The following is a 17184-nucleotide window of genomic DNA, read 5'->3' as shown; positions in this document are numbered from 1 at the left end:
CCTGACTTTTGCACACGGTTAGTCTCCATTCACACTGTGTTTGATTGATCAGCATTCCATAGTTAATGACTACGTTAAGTAGCAAGGAATGATGTATTTTCAAATGTCAGCAACTACAAAGATGCCCCGGAAACTTTCTTGCGGGGAAGTCTATCATTGCTTTCCCAAAAGGCATCATCACTCTATTTTCTTTTCTCTTCTCCTGACCCAGCCCATCAAGTCCAGATCCCAGGATGTATGATAGGAGGCTCTGGAAAGCCAAAAGGCTTGAAGGATTTAGAGAACATGCATCTGAGGAACATTAGTGACAGATAGGACTTCTGACCGGGGGAATGGTCCTCTCCCCGCTGACCCCCACCATTAGTGTGTGACAACTCCTAGGAGCTCTGCTAAGCTATAAAGAACCTTGGTGCCCTTAGTAGCATTGCTCTCAAAAGAAGTGTTGTTGTGAGGATTAAATGACACAATGTGTTTATATCTCTTAGCATACTGTTCCTAGTACATTGTAAGCACTCAATAAACGTTAGCTTTCACTATTCTTTATTGTGGTAAAATATACATAACATTAAACTTACCACTTTAACCACTAAGTGTACTGTTGAGTGTATTAAGTATATTCACATTGTCTTTCAACAGTCACCACCACTCCATCTCCAGAACTTTTTCATCTTCCCAAACTGAAACTTCATACCCATTACACAATAACTCCCATTTCTCCCTCCCTCCAGCCTCTGGCAACTATCATTCTTTCTGTCTCTGTAAATTTGTCTACTCTAGGAACCTCATATAAGTAGAAACAAACAATATTTGTCCTTTTGCAACTGGCTTATTTCACTTAGCATAATGTCTTCAAGGTTCATCCATGCTGTGGCATGTATTCGAATTTTCTTCCTGGCCAGGGCTGGTGGCTCACGCCTGTAATCCCAGCACTTTGGGAGACCTAGGCGGGTGGATCACCTGAGGTGGGGAATTTGAAACCAGCCTGGCCAACATAGTGAAATCTTGTCTCTACTAAAAATACAAAAATTAGCCGGGCATGGTGGTGTGTGCCTGTAATGCCAGCTACTCGGGAGGCTGTGGCAGGAAAATCGCTTAAACCTGGGAGGTGGAGATTGCAGTGAGCTAAGATCGCACCACTGCACTCCAGCCTGGGTGACAGAGTGAAACTCTGTCTCAAAAAAAAGAAAAAGAATTTTCTTCCTTATTAAAGCTTTATAATATTTCATTATATGTGTATGCCACATTTTGTTTATATGTATAAACCACATTTTGTTCATCTGTTGACTGGCACTTGAGTTGCTTCCATCTATTATGAATAATGCTATGAACATAGGTGTACAAATATCGTTCAAGTCCCTGCTTTGAATTCTTCTGGGTGTATACTCAGAAGTAGAATTGCTGGATGATATGGTGCAGTCATACATCACTTATTGACTGAAATACAGTCTGACAAATGCATCATTATGCAATTCTGTCATTGTGCAATTGTAGGGTGCACTTACACAAAGATGCACCCTACATGGTAAAGCCTACTACACACCTAGGCTTTATGGTGTAACCTATTGCTCCTAGATTATAAATCTGTACAGCATGTTGCTGTACTGAATGCTATAGGCAGCTGTAACACAATGGTAAGTATTTGTGTATCTAGACATATCTAAACATAAAAAAGGTACAGTACAAATATGGTATTATAATTTCATGGGACCATTGTGGTATGTGTAGTCTGTTGTCAAACAAAACGTCCTTATGTGGTACATAACAATAAGTCTATGTTTAATTTTTTGAAAAACTAGTTTCCATTATCATGATCAGTTATAAAGTTGCTTCTCTAGGGAACAAAGGGGACAGAGAGACTGGGCAAAGAAGAAAGTGTCAAGGTCCCTTGCAGCTTGAGGAATCCAAGCCCAGTGCTGTGTGTGCCATGGCCCCAGCATTTACTCTGTCGTTGTGCACCTTCTTCCTCTGCTTGAGTTGGAACAGGACATGAGAGGAAGCCGATGGAAGGAGGGATGGTGGGAAGGATTAGGTTACATAAACGGAGAGAGCAGCCCTATATGTGTCACAGGGGTGATTGGACACCTGAGGCTTTAGTTGTGCAGCTCAAGTGTTGCTCTGTTTTCCTGCCCCACTGGTGGGTATTGAGAGGGGCACTGGCGCAGTGGAGAGAAAGGCCTGGGGATGCACACTGTCGTGGCACTTCATCCTGTAGGACCTGGAGCCAGGTAGTGAAGGCAGCATGAAGTTGACTGAACTGGCAGCCTCGGGGAGCCTGAAGGCCAGGGCTGCTCAGGACCTGGAAAACATCTGGGAACTTATTCCCAAAAAACCTCAGAGCCCTAGTTTTTAAAAATGGCTCCCTCCTTCACAGGGGGGCCAACAATGTGTATGAAAGTTCTGGAAGATATGAAATGGTATCATCCATGGCTAAGTTCCTTCTTCACAAATGGCTGTTACCCTCCCAGATCCCTGGCTTCTGCTTCCTCCTGGTGGGGTGCTGTCGGGTATCTCTTGGGCTCAGCCACGTACCCAGTTATGAGCCAACATTCCCCTCAGTGCAAGTACGTAGAAATGCGCGACGCTCTCAGATGCAACAGCACGCAGTTCTGCTCTAATTCCTAGATTTCCTTTGGTACAAATCAGACTCCAGTTTTTTTCTCAAAGGTCACCCTCCTTCACTCAATATCACATAGCCCAGGAGTTACGAGGCTTCTTTGCCAGCCTCCTTCCCAGAGATTATTGGGGGTGGCAGTTCTCCTTCATAAAGAAACTCAAATTTAGACTTTTGGGGTTCTTTCCAAATGTGGTTATTCACACGAAGATACAGGATAAGAAGATCACATTCATTACACAACCATGAACTTGTGACGCATTACTGGTCATTTTGACAACAGTGTACTATAAGTTATTTTAAAAACAAATCTTAAAAGTGTCTTGTCAATGGAATAATTATATCATGTTTGGGTTTTTTTTTTCGCTGTTAAAAGCATTAATTTAATATATTTAAAATATGTCATAAATTTGGTATCCATTCCTGGTTTGGCTCAGCCTGCAGAACTCATCTATCCCTTAGTCACTGTGGTTTTATTTCTAACTTCAGAGTAGGAGTAATGTGCTAGACCTCAAAGCGGAGGCCAGAGCCCTGCTGTCTTACACGGTTGAACCAGACCTTTTTCTAGGACTAGCGCAGTTGCTGCAGAGGTTTTTTTGGGTGGGTTGTCAGTGGTCACTTTTGTGGATTCTAAGCAGTGATACCAGGTTGGAGTCTCCATTGCTGGCCACAGGTCACCTGGTTCTGTCTTGAGTAAATTGTCTACAGTTTAAACTCCTGTTTTTTGTTTGTTTGTTTTTTTTGAGATTGATTCTCGCTCTATCACTCAGGCTGGAGTGCAGTGGTGTGATCTTGGCTCACTGCAACCTCTGCCTCCCAGGTTCAAGAGATTCTCCTGCCTCAGCTGGGATTACAGGCTTGAGCCACCACACTCAGCCGTACTGTTTAAATTCTGTTCAAGACTTCTCAGGCACAGATTCTGGACCTCCTGGTTGCATCTGTGGAGTAAAGCCTGAGCATATTTAGGCCAGTTTTCTTGGACCCTTCCCCATAATGGTGTGTATATTTTTACCAAGCCCAGTGATATAATTATTTCTTGCTGCATGATAGATTACCCCCAAATTTAGCAGCTTAAAACAGCAAGGATTTATTATTATACACATTTTCTATGGGTCAGCAGTCTGGGAGGGGTTTAGCTGGGTAATTCTGGCTCAGGGCCTCTCACGAGGCTGCTGTCAAGCTGTCAGCCCAGGCTGCAGTCATCTCAGGGCTGGAGAATTTGTTTCTAAGCTCACTCACTTGGTGGTTGCTAGATCTCAGTTCCTCATTGGCTGTTGGCTAGAGTCTCCCTCAGTTCCTCACCATGTGAACCTCTCCACAGAGTGGCTGACAACATGGCAGCTGGCTTCCCCCAAAGTGGTTGGCATCCCCCAAAATGAAAAAGAGATCCCAAGCTGGAAGCCACAGTCTGTAAATGACCTAATCTCAGAAGTGACATGCCATCACTCCTGCATATACTGGTCTGATCACACAGACCAACCCTGCTGCAATGTGTACAGGGTGCTGCACAAGGCTGTGAATACCAGGAGATGGGGATCACTGGGGTTCATCTTGGAAGCTGGCTGCCCCACCCAGCTCCTCACTCAGCAAGCCATGCCTCCAACTCTCGCATTATGATAAAGGCAATTGTTTAATCCAGGTAGTACCTTCTAGGGAGTTCCTAGTAGGATCTAGGCACTGTCCTAAGAGCTTTGCGTGCATTAACTCACTGAATGCTAGTAACCTAGAGGTTGATACAAGGGTTCCTGTTTTGTGATTTCAGAACCTGGAGCACAAAGTGGTTAAGTAATCATTACTTTACACTGTGTCCCGGAATGAAAGAGATATTGCTCAGAGCTCCACATATTTCTTCATTTTGCCAACTTTTTGGCTAGAAATAGAGATCCTTGATCTGCATCCCTTTCGGGGCTGGCTGTATTATCTGCCTTTCCCAGTCAAAGACTGAGTTCCTTAAGGAGCCCAGGGCTCTGACCCTTCAAAGGACCCTGGAGAAAAGAGCTTGCCTTTGAATTTCTCCTTAGGGGAGGATCTCCCTGGGCCTGCCGTCCCCTTCTCTGCTGTTACTTCGGGACACCAGTTGCTGCCAGTCTGAGCCAGGGGAAGGGAAGGGTTCTAAATTTCAGAAGATAGAACAGTTTAGCAGAGGACTGAGCCTTGAGAGGAAGGAGAGCAGGGAAGATACAAAGCTACTGCTCCAGTCTACAGTTTAAGGGCATCTGCAGTCTTCTCACCAACCTGCCTTCCCAGGCTATTTCCCATCTCTCACTCCCAGAAACAACAAATCACTCATGGTTAATAAACACATTGTCATTTTCTTTGCCTTTGTGCCCTTGTTTTCCGGTTCCGGTTCCCTGCTCCCTCCTACCCCTCTCTGCCTACTAATGCCTACTGACTTCAAGACCCAGCTAAAAATCACCCTGAGATATCTCCCTCTGGGCCGGTTCATCACAGATTTTAATGTAAACAGAGCCCTTGTGCAAGAATTCATTTTGAGGCCCTGTTAAATTACAGACTTTTATTCGGTAGGTCTGAGGTGGGGCCCGAGAGTCTACAGCTGAAAGAACTCCAGGGTAGCGTAAATGCAATTGATCTCTTAACCACACATTGAGTAGCAAGGCGCCACATCTCATCTTTCCTTTCATCCTTTTTGGAAATGTAAGCCTATTTCATGGTAGAAGCTATTTTAAGGGAAACCAGATGTCTTATACTGGCTAAAATTAATTTGGCATTCAGCAATTATTAAATTATTTGGTAGATATGTAGGGTGACCAATGCCCTGATTTGTCTGGCATTGTGGGGTTTCCTGGGACGTGAGACTTCCACTGCTAAAACTGGGAAAGTCTTAGGAAAACCAGAATGAATTAGGTATCTTGCCTCTGGTGGTTAGAGTGAGGGTGATGTGTCCCTTTCCTTATAACCTTTCCACCAGGTGCAGTCTTGACAAAATTTTACTAAAGCTATGAATGTTTATTAGCCAGCAGGCATAAGAACTGTCCTAGGCCGGGTGCAGTGGCTCACACCTGTAATCCCAGCACTTTGGGAGGCTGAGGCGGGCAGATCTCTTGAGCTCAGGAGTTCGAGACCAGCCTGGGCAACATGGGGAAATGTTGTCTTTATATTTAAAAAAAAAAAAATATATATATATATATATATATATATATATATATATATATATATATATACCGGGTGTGGTGGCATGCACCTGTAGTCCCAGCTACTCAGGAGACTGAGGTGGGAGGATCCTTTAAGCCCAGGAGGCAGAGGTTGCAGTAAGCCGAGATTGCACCACTGCATTCCAGCCAGTGTGAAGATCCTGTCTCAAAAAAAAAGAACTGTCCTACGCTGGTTCTTGGGGCTTGGGGAGAGCCATTCTCTGCCTCAGACACTACAAATAACACAAGCATGGTCGGTTCTCTCTAAAATAGACACAAAGAAATTACAGTGACAGGACCAACTAACCTTATAGTAGGTTAAAGTTATAGCCTCTATGGAAAGAGACACAGCACCAAGGGAACAATAGACCTTGTCACTCCACCAAAAATGATAGACTGCTTATTGAATTTGTATACTTCATTCAAACATGAGCAGTGAGCATGGTCTTGCAGTTAGTGAGGAGCCCTGAAGGTTTCAGAGGCGAGTGCCTGTCTCAGGGCGTTGAGTCAGCCAGGGAATCAGCTCTGTATCTTTCTCAGTTTCAGGTTTTGTTGGTCTTTGTGATATTTTGCCTGGAGGATGGGTGGAGGGTCACCTCAAGAAGCGACCACAACTCAAAGTTATTTTATTCTACATTGCAAAGTATGCCAGATAGAAGAAAACGCCCCTTAGCTTCCCTTTGTCATTCAACACCAGGAAGAAAGAGGAAAATGGAATTGGTTTTCTCTTTTTTTTTTTTTTTTTTTGAGATGGAGTCTCTGTCGCCCAGGCTAGAGTGCAATGGCGTGATCTCGGCTCACCGCAACCTCCACCTTCTGGGTTCAAGCAATTTCCCTGCCTCAGCCTCCTGAGTAGCTCGGACTATAGGCGCCTGCCACCACGGCCAGCTAAGTTTTTTGTATTTTTAGTAGAGATGGGGTTTCACCATGTTGGCCAGGCTGGTCTCAAACTTCTGACCTCAGGTGATCCACCCACCTTGGTCTCCCAAAGTGCTGGGAGTACAGGCGAGAGTCACTGCACCCTGCCTGGAGTTGGTTTTCTTTGGGCTCTGAGGAACACACAAAACAACAAGACCCGTCAGAGTTCAGAGAAACCAATCTCGTGGGGCTACATTGGAACAGCTGAAGGTTTTTTCTTTTTTCTTTTTTTACATTTTTAGACTTCCCTTTGTTTTCTTACAAAACATAAAAACTCAGACTTTAGTTGCCTCTAGGCCTTTCAGAAGAAGCCAGCTGTGGGGAGGGAGGCGGGGCCGCTAGGAGTTCTGCGAACAGATTTTTCAGAGCAAGTGTTAGCATCAGCGGAGCTCTGGTCCTCCCTGTGGATTTGTAAACCAACCTCTGACACCCATTCAGCAAAACAACTTCACCTTTCACCTACTTTCTTTGTTTTCCAGCTGTTTGGTGCATGTTCTGTGTGCATATGTAAGCAACTCTTGATGATTTTGTTTGCTTATACTATTTCCTTCTCAATAAAGAGAAAGAATAGGGCATGAGTATGTCACTGTTGGGCGGGACCCCAAGGGGATCTAGAGATTGTGACCCAGCATCAGATGACAACCCTGGCCTCAGACAAAGACCCTTTGTTTCACAGATGAAGCAACTGACACCTGGATGACTTGCTCCATGCTGGCAAAGGAGTGATTGGATCTAAAACAAGATTTTTAATGCTCTCAATTAAAATTCAGAGTCTCAAGGTTGAAAAGGACTTTGACAATTACATATCCAACCTCACACAGATGCTTGAATTCTGGTCTCTAATGAGTGTACAGTGGCCGGGCGCGGTGGCTCACACCTGTAATCCCAGGACTTTGGGAGGCCGAGGCAGGCGGATCACGAGGTCAGGAGTTCGAGACCAGCCTGACCAACATGGTGAAACACCGTCTCTACTAAAAATACAAAAATTAACTGGGCGTGGTGGCGCATGTATGATCCCAGCTACTCAGGAGGCTGAGGCAGGAGAATTGCTGGAACCCACGAGGGGGAGGTTGCAGTGAGCCGAGACTGTGCCACTGTGCTCCAGCCTGGGTGACAGAGAGAGTGAGACTCCATCTCATAAAAAAAAAGGAGTGTAGAGTGGCCACGTGGCCACTACTGGTCTCACTGGAAGATGAGGAGATCACAACTGTCCCAGCAAATGGAAGCTCTTTCATTTATTTCCATGGGTGCAGGATATCGCCCAGGCTGCAGTACAGTGATACGATCTTACCTCACTGCAACCTCCACTCCCGGATTCAAGTAATTCTCCCTGCCTTAGCCTCCCAAGTAGCTGGAAATTACAGGCATCCGCCACCACACCTGGCTAATTTTTGTATTTTTAGTAGAGATGGGGTTTCGCCATGTTGGCCAGGCTGGTCTTGAACTCCTGACTTCAGGTGATCCGTCTGCCTTGGCCTCCCAAGGTGCTGGGATTACAGCTCGCCACTGTACCTGGCGAGCTCTCTGTTTTTGAATCCGTTACTTTCTATCAGAGTTATACAAATATCAATGAATTTTCATTAAAAAGGCATTTCCTGGAGCACACTTCATTTACCTTTGATCAGTTAATCGGAGAACACTGAGAAGCCTTTAATTTCCACAAGGGATATAGCCTTTCCTAAACATAACCTGCTTATTTGAGGCAGAATATCTTGTAACTCTAACCTTACATAGAACAAATTTAGGAAAATGCTGGTTTGAGCTATGGAATAAAATTCTTAAAAAGGTACATGTTAATTAATTTTTTTGTGAGTCAAATATTTTAAATGTAATAAGAGGAATTTACCACTCAAAAGCAACCAATGGAAAATATATTGCTAAACATAAAGAAGATTATTTATGTAATATAAATAAAAATGTTGGTGAACATATTCTGTATTATGAATCATTCTGGAATGATGTATGCAAATCTCTCACTCATTCTTTTCGAGATAGGGTCTCACTCTGTCACCTAGGCTGGAGTGTAGTGACATGATCATGGCTTACTTTAGCCTCAACCTCCTGGGCTCAAGTGATCCTACTACCTCTCAGCCTCCCTAATAGCTGGGACTACATGTGTGCACCACCATGCCCAGCTAATTAACAAAAAAATTTTTGCCCGTGTACAGTGGCTCATGCCTGTAATCCCAGCGAGGCAGGAGAATAGGGCCTGGAGATAGGGAACATGAGGCTGATCCACGCTGACTTCCTAGAAGTAAATCAAATAAAAGCACTTCGGCAATGACAGAAATGTGAATGGCTTTGTAACTTCACTTCATCCTCTCCATTTACATAGATCACATACACCAAGTAACATCCTCTCCATTTACACTAGGGTGCATTCTGAGTAAACGACTCTGTGACTTAACTTCATTCTCTTCATTTACATAGAATATTTGCCAAGTAACCAATGGGAAACGTCTAGAGTATTGAAACCTCAGAAAATTCTGTGAGCGGGGCTCTTGAGCACCTGTGCTCAGGCCTACTCCCATACTGTGGAGTGTACTTTCGTTCTCAATAAATCCCTGCATTTGCTTTCCTGTCTTTGTGAGTTTTGTCCAGTTATTTGTTTGAGACCCCAAGAACCTGGACACCTTCTATCAGAACACCAGCACTTTGACAGGCCGAGGGTGTGGATCACCTGAGGCCAGGAGTTCGAGACCAGCCTGGCCAACATGGCGAAACCCTGTTTCTACTAAAAAAAAATTTAAAAATTAGCTGGGCGTGGTGGCGTGTGCCTGTAATTGCAGCTACTCAGGAGGCTGAGGCAGGAGAATAGTTTGAACCCTGGAGGCAGAGGTTGCAGTGAGCTAAGATCAAGCCTCTGCATTCTAGCCTGGGTGACAGATGGGGGAGTCTCACCACATTACCCACGCTGGTCTTGAACTCCTGGGCTCAAGCAATCCTCGTGCCACAGTCTCCCAAAATGTTGGAATTACAGGCATGAGCTACTCTGTCTAGCTACAAATATCTTAATGCTTACTTTGTATGTAAAATTTTGGGGAAACTTTTATTTTTTAATTTTGTTTGGCTGCATTTTAAAAATTTCTATATTGGGCCAGGCACAGTGGCTCATGCCTGTAAGCTACTCGGGAGGCCAAGGCAGGAGAATCACTTGAACCCAGGAGGTGGAGGTTGCAGTGAGCTGAGATCGTGCCACTGCACTTCAGCCTGGCGACAGTGCGAGACTCCGTCTCAAAAAAAAAAAAAATAAATTCTAAATTGAACACAACTAAGTTTTAAAAAAGCAGCCCCAACAGCAAAAAGACTCGAGACAAGAAATGACAGATCCTATAGGAAACTGAAGAATGTGTTTGGTAGAGAGAATAAGCATTATTTCTTCTTTTATCTCTTGTTTGTTTGTTTATTTGTTTTTTGAGACAGAGTCTCGCTCTGTCGCCCAGGCTGGAGTGCAGTGGCCCGATCTTGGCTCACTGCAAGCTCCACCTCCCAGGTTCACACCATTCTCCTGCCTCAGCCTCCCGAGTAGCTGGGACTACAGGTGCCCGCCACCATGCTGGCTCATTTTTGTATTTTTAGTAGAGACAGGGTTTCACCATGTTGGCCAGGCTGGTCAACTCCTGACCTCATGATCCACCCGCCTCGGCCTCCCAAAATGCTGGGATTACAGGCATGTGTCTTTTATCTTTTGTGTAAGCCAGGGAGATATTCTCTCTCTCATCCTGTGTAAGAAATGCATGGCTAAAGTATCATATTCCTCGTATAATTTTTCTGATCAAAAATCTACTGTAATATCTGCCTATAAATGAAGTCTAACCTCCTCTGTCTGATTTTTAAGATGCTGTGTAATCTAACCCCCTTTTATCTCTCAGATTTACCTAATGCTGGTTCCTTTCTGATAACATGCCACTCCAGCCAGGCTTACTTTTTCTTTCCATTCCTTTTGTCCCTATGCTCTTTGCTGCTTCAGTGTCTTTGTTCATGTTTTTCAGACCAGAATGTCCTTTCTACCTCTCCAAATTCAAGGCCATTTGTACCCCACACTGATTTTTCCTTTTCCTGACCTTTGATGGCATTTCTAGACTATACCATACCATTTATCATTGACTGATTCACTGGGCTTACCTAGGCTCAGCCCTTGATGCTGACTGGCAGAGGCAAAACTTAGGTTGCTGGCTGCCTAGGTTGCTGGTGTTACCAGAAAAGGGGTCCGCATCCAGAGCTCAGGAGAGGGTTCTTGGATCTCACGCAAGAAAGAAGTCAGGGCAAGTCTGCAGAGCAAAGTGAAAGCAAGTTTATTAAGACAGTAAAGGAATAAAAGAATGGCTACCCCATAGACAGAGTAGCCCCGAGGACTACTGGTTGTCCATTTTTATGGTTTTTTTTTATGATATGCTAAACAAGGGGTGGATTATTCATACCTCCCCTTTTTAGACCATATAGGGTAACTTCCTGACATTGCCATGGCATTTATAAACTGTCATGGCGCTGGTGGGAGTGTAGCAGTGAGGATGACCAGAGGTCACTCTTGACGCCATTTTGGTTTTGGTGGGTTTTGGCTGGCTCCTTTACTGCAACCTGTTTTATCAGCCAGGTCTTTATGTCCTGTATTTTGTGTGACCTCCTATCTCATCCTGTGACTTAGAATGCCTTAACCGTCTGTGAATGCAGCCCAGTAGGTTTCAGCCTCATTTCACCCAGCTCTTATTTAAGATGGAGTTGCTCTGGTTCACACGCCTCTGACACTGGAATTGAATACCTGGAGGGCATGTTAAAAGGGGAGAAATAGCAAGGAATGAATCGGGAAGTTAGAGTCTAGAGAAACAGACCAACTAGACATCAGTTGGAGTGGCTGAACAAATGAAAAGCTAGAGAGATGCTAGAGCAAGCAGAGGCCCAGTGTAGATAAAGATACAGAAGATGGTGGCTGTCTTGTTCCTCTTGTGTTGGGTTTGGTGTGTTCGGCCTGCGGTGGGGACAGCCTGCCACTGCATACTGACACCCTCTTTAATCATACCCTGACAATGATAGCAAAGTTAGGAGTTCCCAGGGGGCCCTTCTGGAGAACTTTACTTTTTTTATGCCACCATATAGTGTCATCAGAAGTGCAGATTGACTCTGACACTTTATCACCAAGTAGAAGAATCTCAGGCTGGAAGCAGCTTAGGCAAAAAACGCAAATGTACTTGCTCATGGAATCCAATAAACAATCAGGTGTAGCTTATCATACCTGCAAACCAAACTGCAGGAAGCATGGCTGCAACTTGGTCTCAGGAACAACTGGATCCCGAGACTTGGATGCTGCCAATAGCTCTTTTTTACCTCCCTAGCCTCTGCTTCTTTTTACCCTTTCACCTTCTCTAACTGCAAATAGCCCTTCTTCTCATGGTTGTATATGCGGCTATTAAAAGCTCCTGAAGTTTACATCTTTCAACTTCCACCACCAAAGGGAGACTGATTCTTTTATTCTAGTAGGGATGAATCCCAAGCAAGGTTCTGATTGGCCCACCTTGAGTCAACTACCCAAACTTAACTAATCAAACATGGAAAGAGAAGACAAGACCAGATAAGAACACGCCATGTGGGCCAGGCGTGGTGGCTCGTGCCTGTAATCCCAGCACTTTGGGAGGCTGAGGCAGACAGATCACCTGAGTTTGGGAGTTCAAGACCAGCCTGACCAGCATGGAGAAACCCTGTCTCTACTAAAAATACACAATTAGCTGGGTGTGATAGTGCATGCCTGTAATCCTAGCTACTCCGGAGGCTGAGGCAGGAGAATCGCTTGAACCTGGGAGGCGGAGGCTGGGGTGAGTCAAGATCGTGCCATTGCACTCCAGCCTGGGCAACACGAGTGAAAATCCATCTCAATAAATAAATAAATAAACGAACACGCCGTGTGGACAGGGGTGGGGTGAGTAGTTTCTAGGAGGAGAGGGTTTGGGGCGAATAATCCTATAGATGTCCAATATGATAGCATACCAGCAACTGCATCCACAGGCATGTAAATTGGTATGTTGGAAATCAGGAAGGAATAACTGTAGTCTAGCACACTGCCCTTCCTATTGCCACAACAGTCAGGAAGCCTTTATTAAGAGTTGCTCCTGGGAACTTGATAATTGTTGGAATAGCCTGCAACTCTACACTGTCATTTTTTCTTGCTATGTTAACCTCAGGACCTTCAGCTTTATTCAGACACCTAATAACCCTGGCATTTCTTTGCTCTGCAAGGAACCGCTGATGGCACTGTTATCTTTGCGTTTGTGACTGTTGAGTCACTTCATTTCCCAGAGGGAGAATGGTGAAGTCACCAACACCACCAGGTCACCAGCAACCTTAAGCTCTGGATGGAATGATGCTAGGGAAAAATGTGAGTTAGAAAAGGAGCCTGACACTATTTCTTTTAAAGGAAGGCCATTAGCTCATCTTGGGAAAGTCAGCTGGCTGGCGGGGAAGAGGAGGTAGGAGGAACGTTAGCAGAAAATACCTAACTCTTGCTGTACACGGTGGCTCACGCCTGTAATCCCAGCACTTTGGGAAGCTGAGGCAGGCAGATCACCTGAGGTCAGGAGTTTGAGACTGGCCTGGCCAACATGGACCCTGTGTCTACTAAAAATAAAAAAAACTAGCCAGCATGGTGGCGGCACCTGTAGTCCCACCTCCTTGGGAGGCTGAGGCAGGAGAATCACTTGAATCTGGGAGGTGGAGGTTGCAGTAAGCTGAGATCATGCCACTACACTCCAGCCTGGGTGACAGAGCAAGATTCTCTCGAAAAAAAAAAGCCTAACTCTGGATGGATCTTCCCCAGTTCTAGAAGGCACCAGTGTTAATAAGTTCCTGATGCACAAGGCTGGCAGAGAGTCAGCTGTGGGAGATAAATCAAGAATAAAGCTGTGAGGTAGGGAAGGCGGTGTAGCATAAAGACCCAGACAAACATGTCTGGGTCACTCTGTTCCATTTCTGCTTGCTTGGCTCTGGCCTCTGCTACTGATCTGGCCTTCCCAGATGCCCGCCATGCCATTGCTAACACCTGCTTGGCCTTTTATCTGGCTTTAGACTTAGCATTTACTTTGGGATTTATACTGTTGCTTCTCTCTTCTGCATATTGATGTTTATTGGGCTCTCCAGTGGTCCCTTGACTTGTCTATGGAGCCCTTTCTTTTTGTCACCTATTCTGAAGGGAATTTCATCCAAGTGATGCTGATCAGGCCATGCTCCACATCCCTCCCTGGCACCTGGCTTCGAGCTTATAGGTGCAGCTCCCTTGGGATTGGAGCTGCTTTCTCCACGGAGCCCCCATGGGTGCTGTGTGGGTCTTAATCCAGACTCTACTAAGCATAGCCTGTTTACTCATGGCTGCCGCCCCTCGAGGCTGAGTCTGTCTCATCTCTGTCCCTGCAGCATCCAGGACAGAGCCTGGCACAGAGCAGGCTCAGTCCTGTTTGTCACAGGATTGGGGAAATATGCATGGTGGCCTGACTGTGGTTGGTACCCTGCTTTTCTCTGGTCATCCTCTGGGTTCAAGTGCAGTTTATCAGACCTGCTCCTTAGAGTCTCATGTTTTGAAATTGCTTCTTTTGAGAAAGCACAGAGTCCCTTCTCTACTCCGGAACAAATCACAGACACAGGGCCCAGCAAAAGACTTAACTAGAAATAAAAAGACCTGCTTTCCTACCTTCCCTCACCAGTCTGTCTGTAGTGTATTGCAGTGGAGTGTAGTGGTTAAGAATATGGATCCTGAAATCATACTACCTGGTCTCAAATCCTGGCTCTACTACTTAGTAGCTGTGTCACTGGTGGCAAAAGACTTTGTTACCTGTGCCTCAGTTTCCTCATCTGTCAAACAGGAATAATAACAGGACCAACTTCATAGGGCTATTAGGAGAATTAGATGTGTTAATATGAGTAATGTGCTTGTAACAGCACGTGGTACGCAGCAGGCATTCTAGAAGTGTTTGCTGTTGCTATTGTTCTCTACCTTCATTACTGACTCCAGTAAGGGTCCTCTGACTTTGTTCCCTCCTGTGTTCCTGGACTAACCCCTGACCTTCCCTCTCCTGGAACTCAACTTTTAGACCTCAGTCTCATGCTGTGGTCCACACAGTCAAATACTTGCAAACACATATTTCTAGTTGGTTACTCAGTTATAACCCAGGAGATGTCCAGCCTCATTCTTTTTTTGCCCATGCTAAAGTGCAGTGGTATGATCTCAGCTCACTGCAACCTCCACCTCCCAGGTTCAAGCAATTCTCCTGCCTGAGACTCCTGAGTAGCTGGGATTACAGGCACCTGCCACCACGCCCGGCTAATTTTTGTATTTTTAGTAGAGATGGAGTTTTGCCATGTTGGCCAGGCTGGTCTTGAACTCCTGACCTTAAGTGGTCTGCCCGCCTCGGCCTCCCAAAGTGCTGGGGTTACAGGTGTGAGCCACCGCACCCGGCTGCCTCATTCTTTGTGTTAGTGTCACCTGACCTACTCCTGGTCCTTTCCTCAGGTAAGTCCTGGCCCGAACATTGCTTTTTTTTTTATTTTTTTTGAGATAGAGTTTTGCTCTTGTCACCCAGGCTGGAGTGCAATCTTGGCTCACTGCAACCTCTGCCTCCCAGGTTCAAGTGATTCTCCTGCCTCAGCCTCCTGAGTAGCTGGATTACAGGTGCCTGCCACCATGCCTGGCTAATTTTTTTGTATTTTTAGTGGAGACAGGGTTTCACCGTGTTGGCCAGGCTGGTCTCAAACTCCTGACCTCAGGTGATTCACCCGCCTCGGCTTCCCAAAGTGCTGGGATTACAGGCATGAGCCACCGTGCCTGGCCAAACGTTGTTCTTTTAATGGCCAATTAGGGTGGCTGTAAAGGAGTAAGGTTTGTCTAGTTTGCTACACCAAGAGTTGGCAAACTTTTTTTGTAAAGGCCTAGATAGGAAATATTTTAAGCTTTGTAGACCACCCATGGTCTCTCTCACTCCTCTTTCTCCTCCTCCTCCTCATCTTCCTCCTCCTTCCTTTTGTTCTTCCTCACAACCCTTTAACAATGTAAAAACCATCCTTAACTTGAGGACTGTTTACTGAAAGAGGTCCTGAGCTACATTTGGCCCTTAGGCCATGATTTGTAGACTTCTGTGCTAGGCAACACATTCCATGAGGGCAGGAACAAGTCTGTCTTCTCTATGGTCTAGCTACTAACCTGCAACATGGCAGATCCTCTATTTGTACCTGTCAAACGAATGAATAAATGGATTCAAATGAGTCTCTGGCTTCCAAACTTAAGAGAAAGAATCCCCATGTAAATTCTATAGTGAACAGAAGAACCCCTGGGAAGGGATCTATTAAGTTTGGCTCTTTGCTCTGTCTGCAGTTACCCAAGGGCATAGGTGTCTTTCCATGGGGTACACCTTAGCCTAAGTACCTACCTGCAATTCTAGTGCCTTCTTTTTTCAGCCAAGAACAGAGTTCTTCCCGCAGCCTCAGTTCTATAGTAAACTATGCCAGCAGTGTGCTGGTAAGTATTTAACAACCAGCTGCCCAACAAGCAAGCGAACAATCCCTGACTTATATAGCATTTGCCAATTTCCATGGTGTAAATACTTCTGCCATGGCCAATTTCAAGCTACAGATGTGAAGACACTAAACATGAATCTGGGAGGAGATAATGCACAATCAGCTCTCTCCAGCTGTAGCTTACCACTAACCATACTCTCTTCCCTGCCCACTCCTGCAGCCCTATGGACTACACACCTCCTGGGAGAAAACTTGACAGAAACCTTAGTTTCCACTGTTGCTGCCCCAGGATTAGGCTCTTCTCTGTGTTTTGGTGGATGGGTAGCATTATCTTACTCTCTCAGACTTCCTGGATTTCAGCTTTGCCTGCTTTGATCCCCAATCCCTGACTGTTCGTTTGACCCCCTGACTCCCTGGGATTCTTGCAGAGTGCAGGAGGCCATACAGTTCCTGATCAACCCTGGCTTCCTGGCTCTCACATGTCTGACATGCTTCTGAGCACAGAGAAGAATAAACACTCCACCGCCTGCAGGGTCTTCTGTTTTTCAGGCTGGGGCTTGTGTGGTCCCTCCCTTCCAGTTCTTGCAGCACACCTCTCTTGACTGCCCCGTTCCCTTCTATCCTCAGTTCCCAGCTCAGTTTTCCTTCCCTATCCTTTATTCCTAATTAGCACCATCTGTCTGCTAACCCCGTACATGCTCTTCACCTTTATTGTTTCACACAAAAATTAATTACTGAGTACTTTTTGTGTGCCAGACTCTGTCTAGGCCCTGGGATACATCAGTGAACAAAACAGATAGGGATTCCCTGCCCTTGGGGGAACTTTATATTAAAGTGCAAAGGGCTGGGCATGGTGGTTCACATCTATAATCCCAGCACCTTGGGAGGCTGAGGCCGGCAGATCACTTGAGGTCAGGAGTTCGAGACTAGCCTGGCCAACATGGTGAAACCCCGTTCTTACTAAAAATCCAAATATTAGCTGGGCCTGGTAGTGCAGGCCTGTAATCCCAG

The 17184-nt window shown here is 45.5% G+C and overlaps 1 long non-coding RNA gene across 1 annotated transcript in view, besides 5 other annotated features; it reads right to left on the bottom strand.

Moving 5' to 3' along the window:
* Window positions 1-17184, bottom strand: part of LOC105376197 (uncharacterized) — a 63129-nt gene that overhangs the window by 9209 nt on the left and 36736 nt on the right. The window contains exon 3 of the long non-coding RNA XR_930205.3: window positions 10807-10952. This is a non-coding gene — a long non-coding RNA (uncharacterized LOC105376197). The remainder of the gene's footprint in view (window positions 1-10806; window positions 10953-17184) is intronic.
* Window positions 3844-3893: a silencer, noted in NCBI's record as "silent region_20149". NCBI's record gives its function as "represses an Ori minimal core promoter by ATAC-STARR-seq in GM12878 lymphoblastoid cells {active_cell/tissue: GM12878}" and the evidence as "EXISTENCE:reporter gene assay evidence [ECO:0000049][PMID:35858748]".
* Window positions 4346-5325: an enhancer, noted in NCBI's record as "H3K27ac hESC enhancer chr9:107902689-107903668 (GRCh37/hg19 assembly coordinates)". NCBI's record gives its function as "activates a minimal SCP1, AML or CMV promoter by ChIP-STARR-seq in primed H9 embryonic stem cells {active_cell/tissue: H9 hESC(primed)}" and the evidence as "EXISTENCE:reporter gene assay evidence [ECO:0000049][PMID:30033119]".
* Window positions 5326-6305: an enhancer, noted in NCBI's record as "H3K27ac hESC enhancer chr9:107901709-107902688 (GRCh37/hg19 assembly coordinates)". NCBI's record gives its function as "activates a minimal SCP1, AML or CMV promoter by ChIP-STARR-seq in primed H9 embryonic stem cells {active_cell/tissue: H9 hESC(primed)}" and the evidence as "EXISTENCE:reporter gene assay evidence [ECO:0000049][PMID:30033119]".
* Window positions 6306-7285: an enhancer, noted in NCBI's record as "OCT4-NANOG-H3K27ac-H3K4me1 hESC enhancer chr9:107900729-107901708 (GRCh37/hg19 assembly coordinates)". NCBI's record gives its function as "activates a minimal SCP1, AML or CMV promoter by ChIP-STARR-seq in naive H9 embryonic stem cells {active_cell/tissue: H9 hESC(naive)}" and the evidence as "EXISTENCE:reporter gene assay evidence [ECO:0000049][PMID:30033119]".
* Window positions 7286-8265: an enhancer, noted in NCBI's record as "OCT4-NANOG-H3K27ac-H3K4me1 hESC enhancer chr9:107899749-107900728 (GRCh37/hg19 assembly coordinates)". NCBI's record gives its function as "activates a minimal SCP1, AML or CMV promoter by ChIP-STARR-seq in naive H9 embryonic stem cells {active_cell/tissue: H9 hESC(naive)}" and the evidence as "EXISTENCE:reporter gene assay evidence [ECO:0000049][PMID:30033119]".

This window comes from Homo sapiens, chromosome 9, assembly GCF_000001405.40.
Source record: "Homo sapiens chromosome 9, GRCh38.p14 Primary Assembly".
NCBI classification, from domain to species: Eukaryota; Metazoa; Chordata; class Mammalia; order Primates; family Hominidae; genus Homo; species Homo sapiens.
The sequence above is the reverse complement of the archived record's forward strand: the minus strand, read 5'-3'. Positions and strand labels throughout refer to the sequence as shown.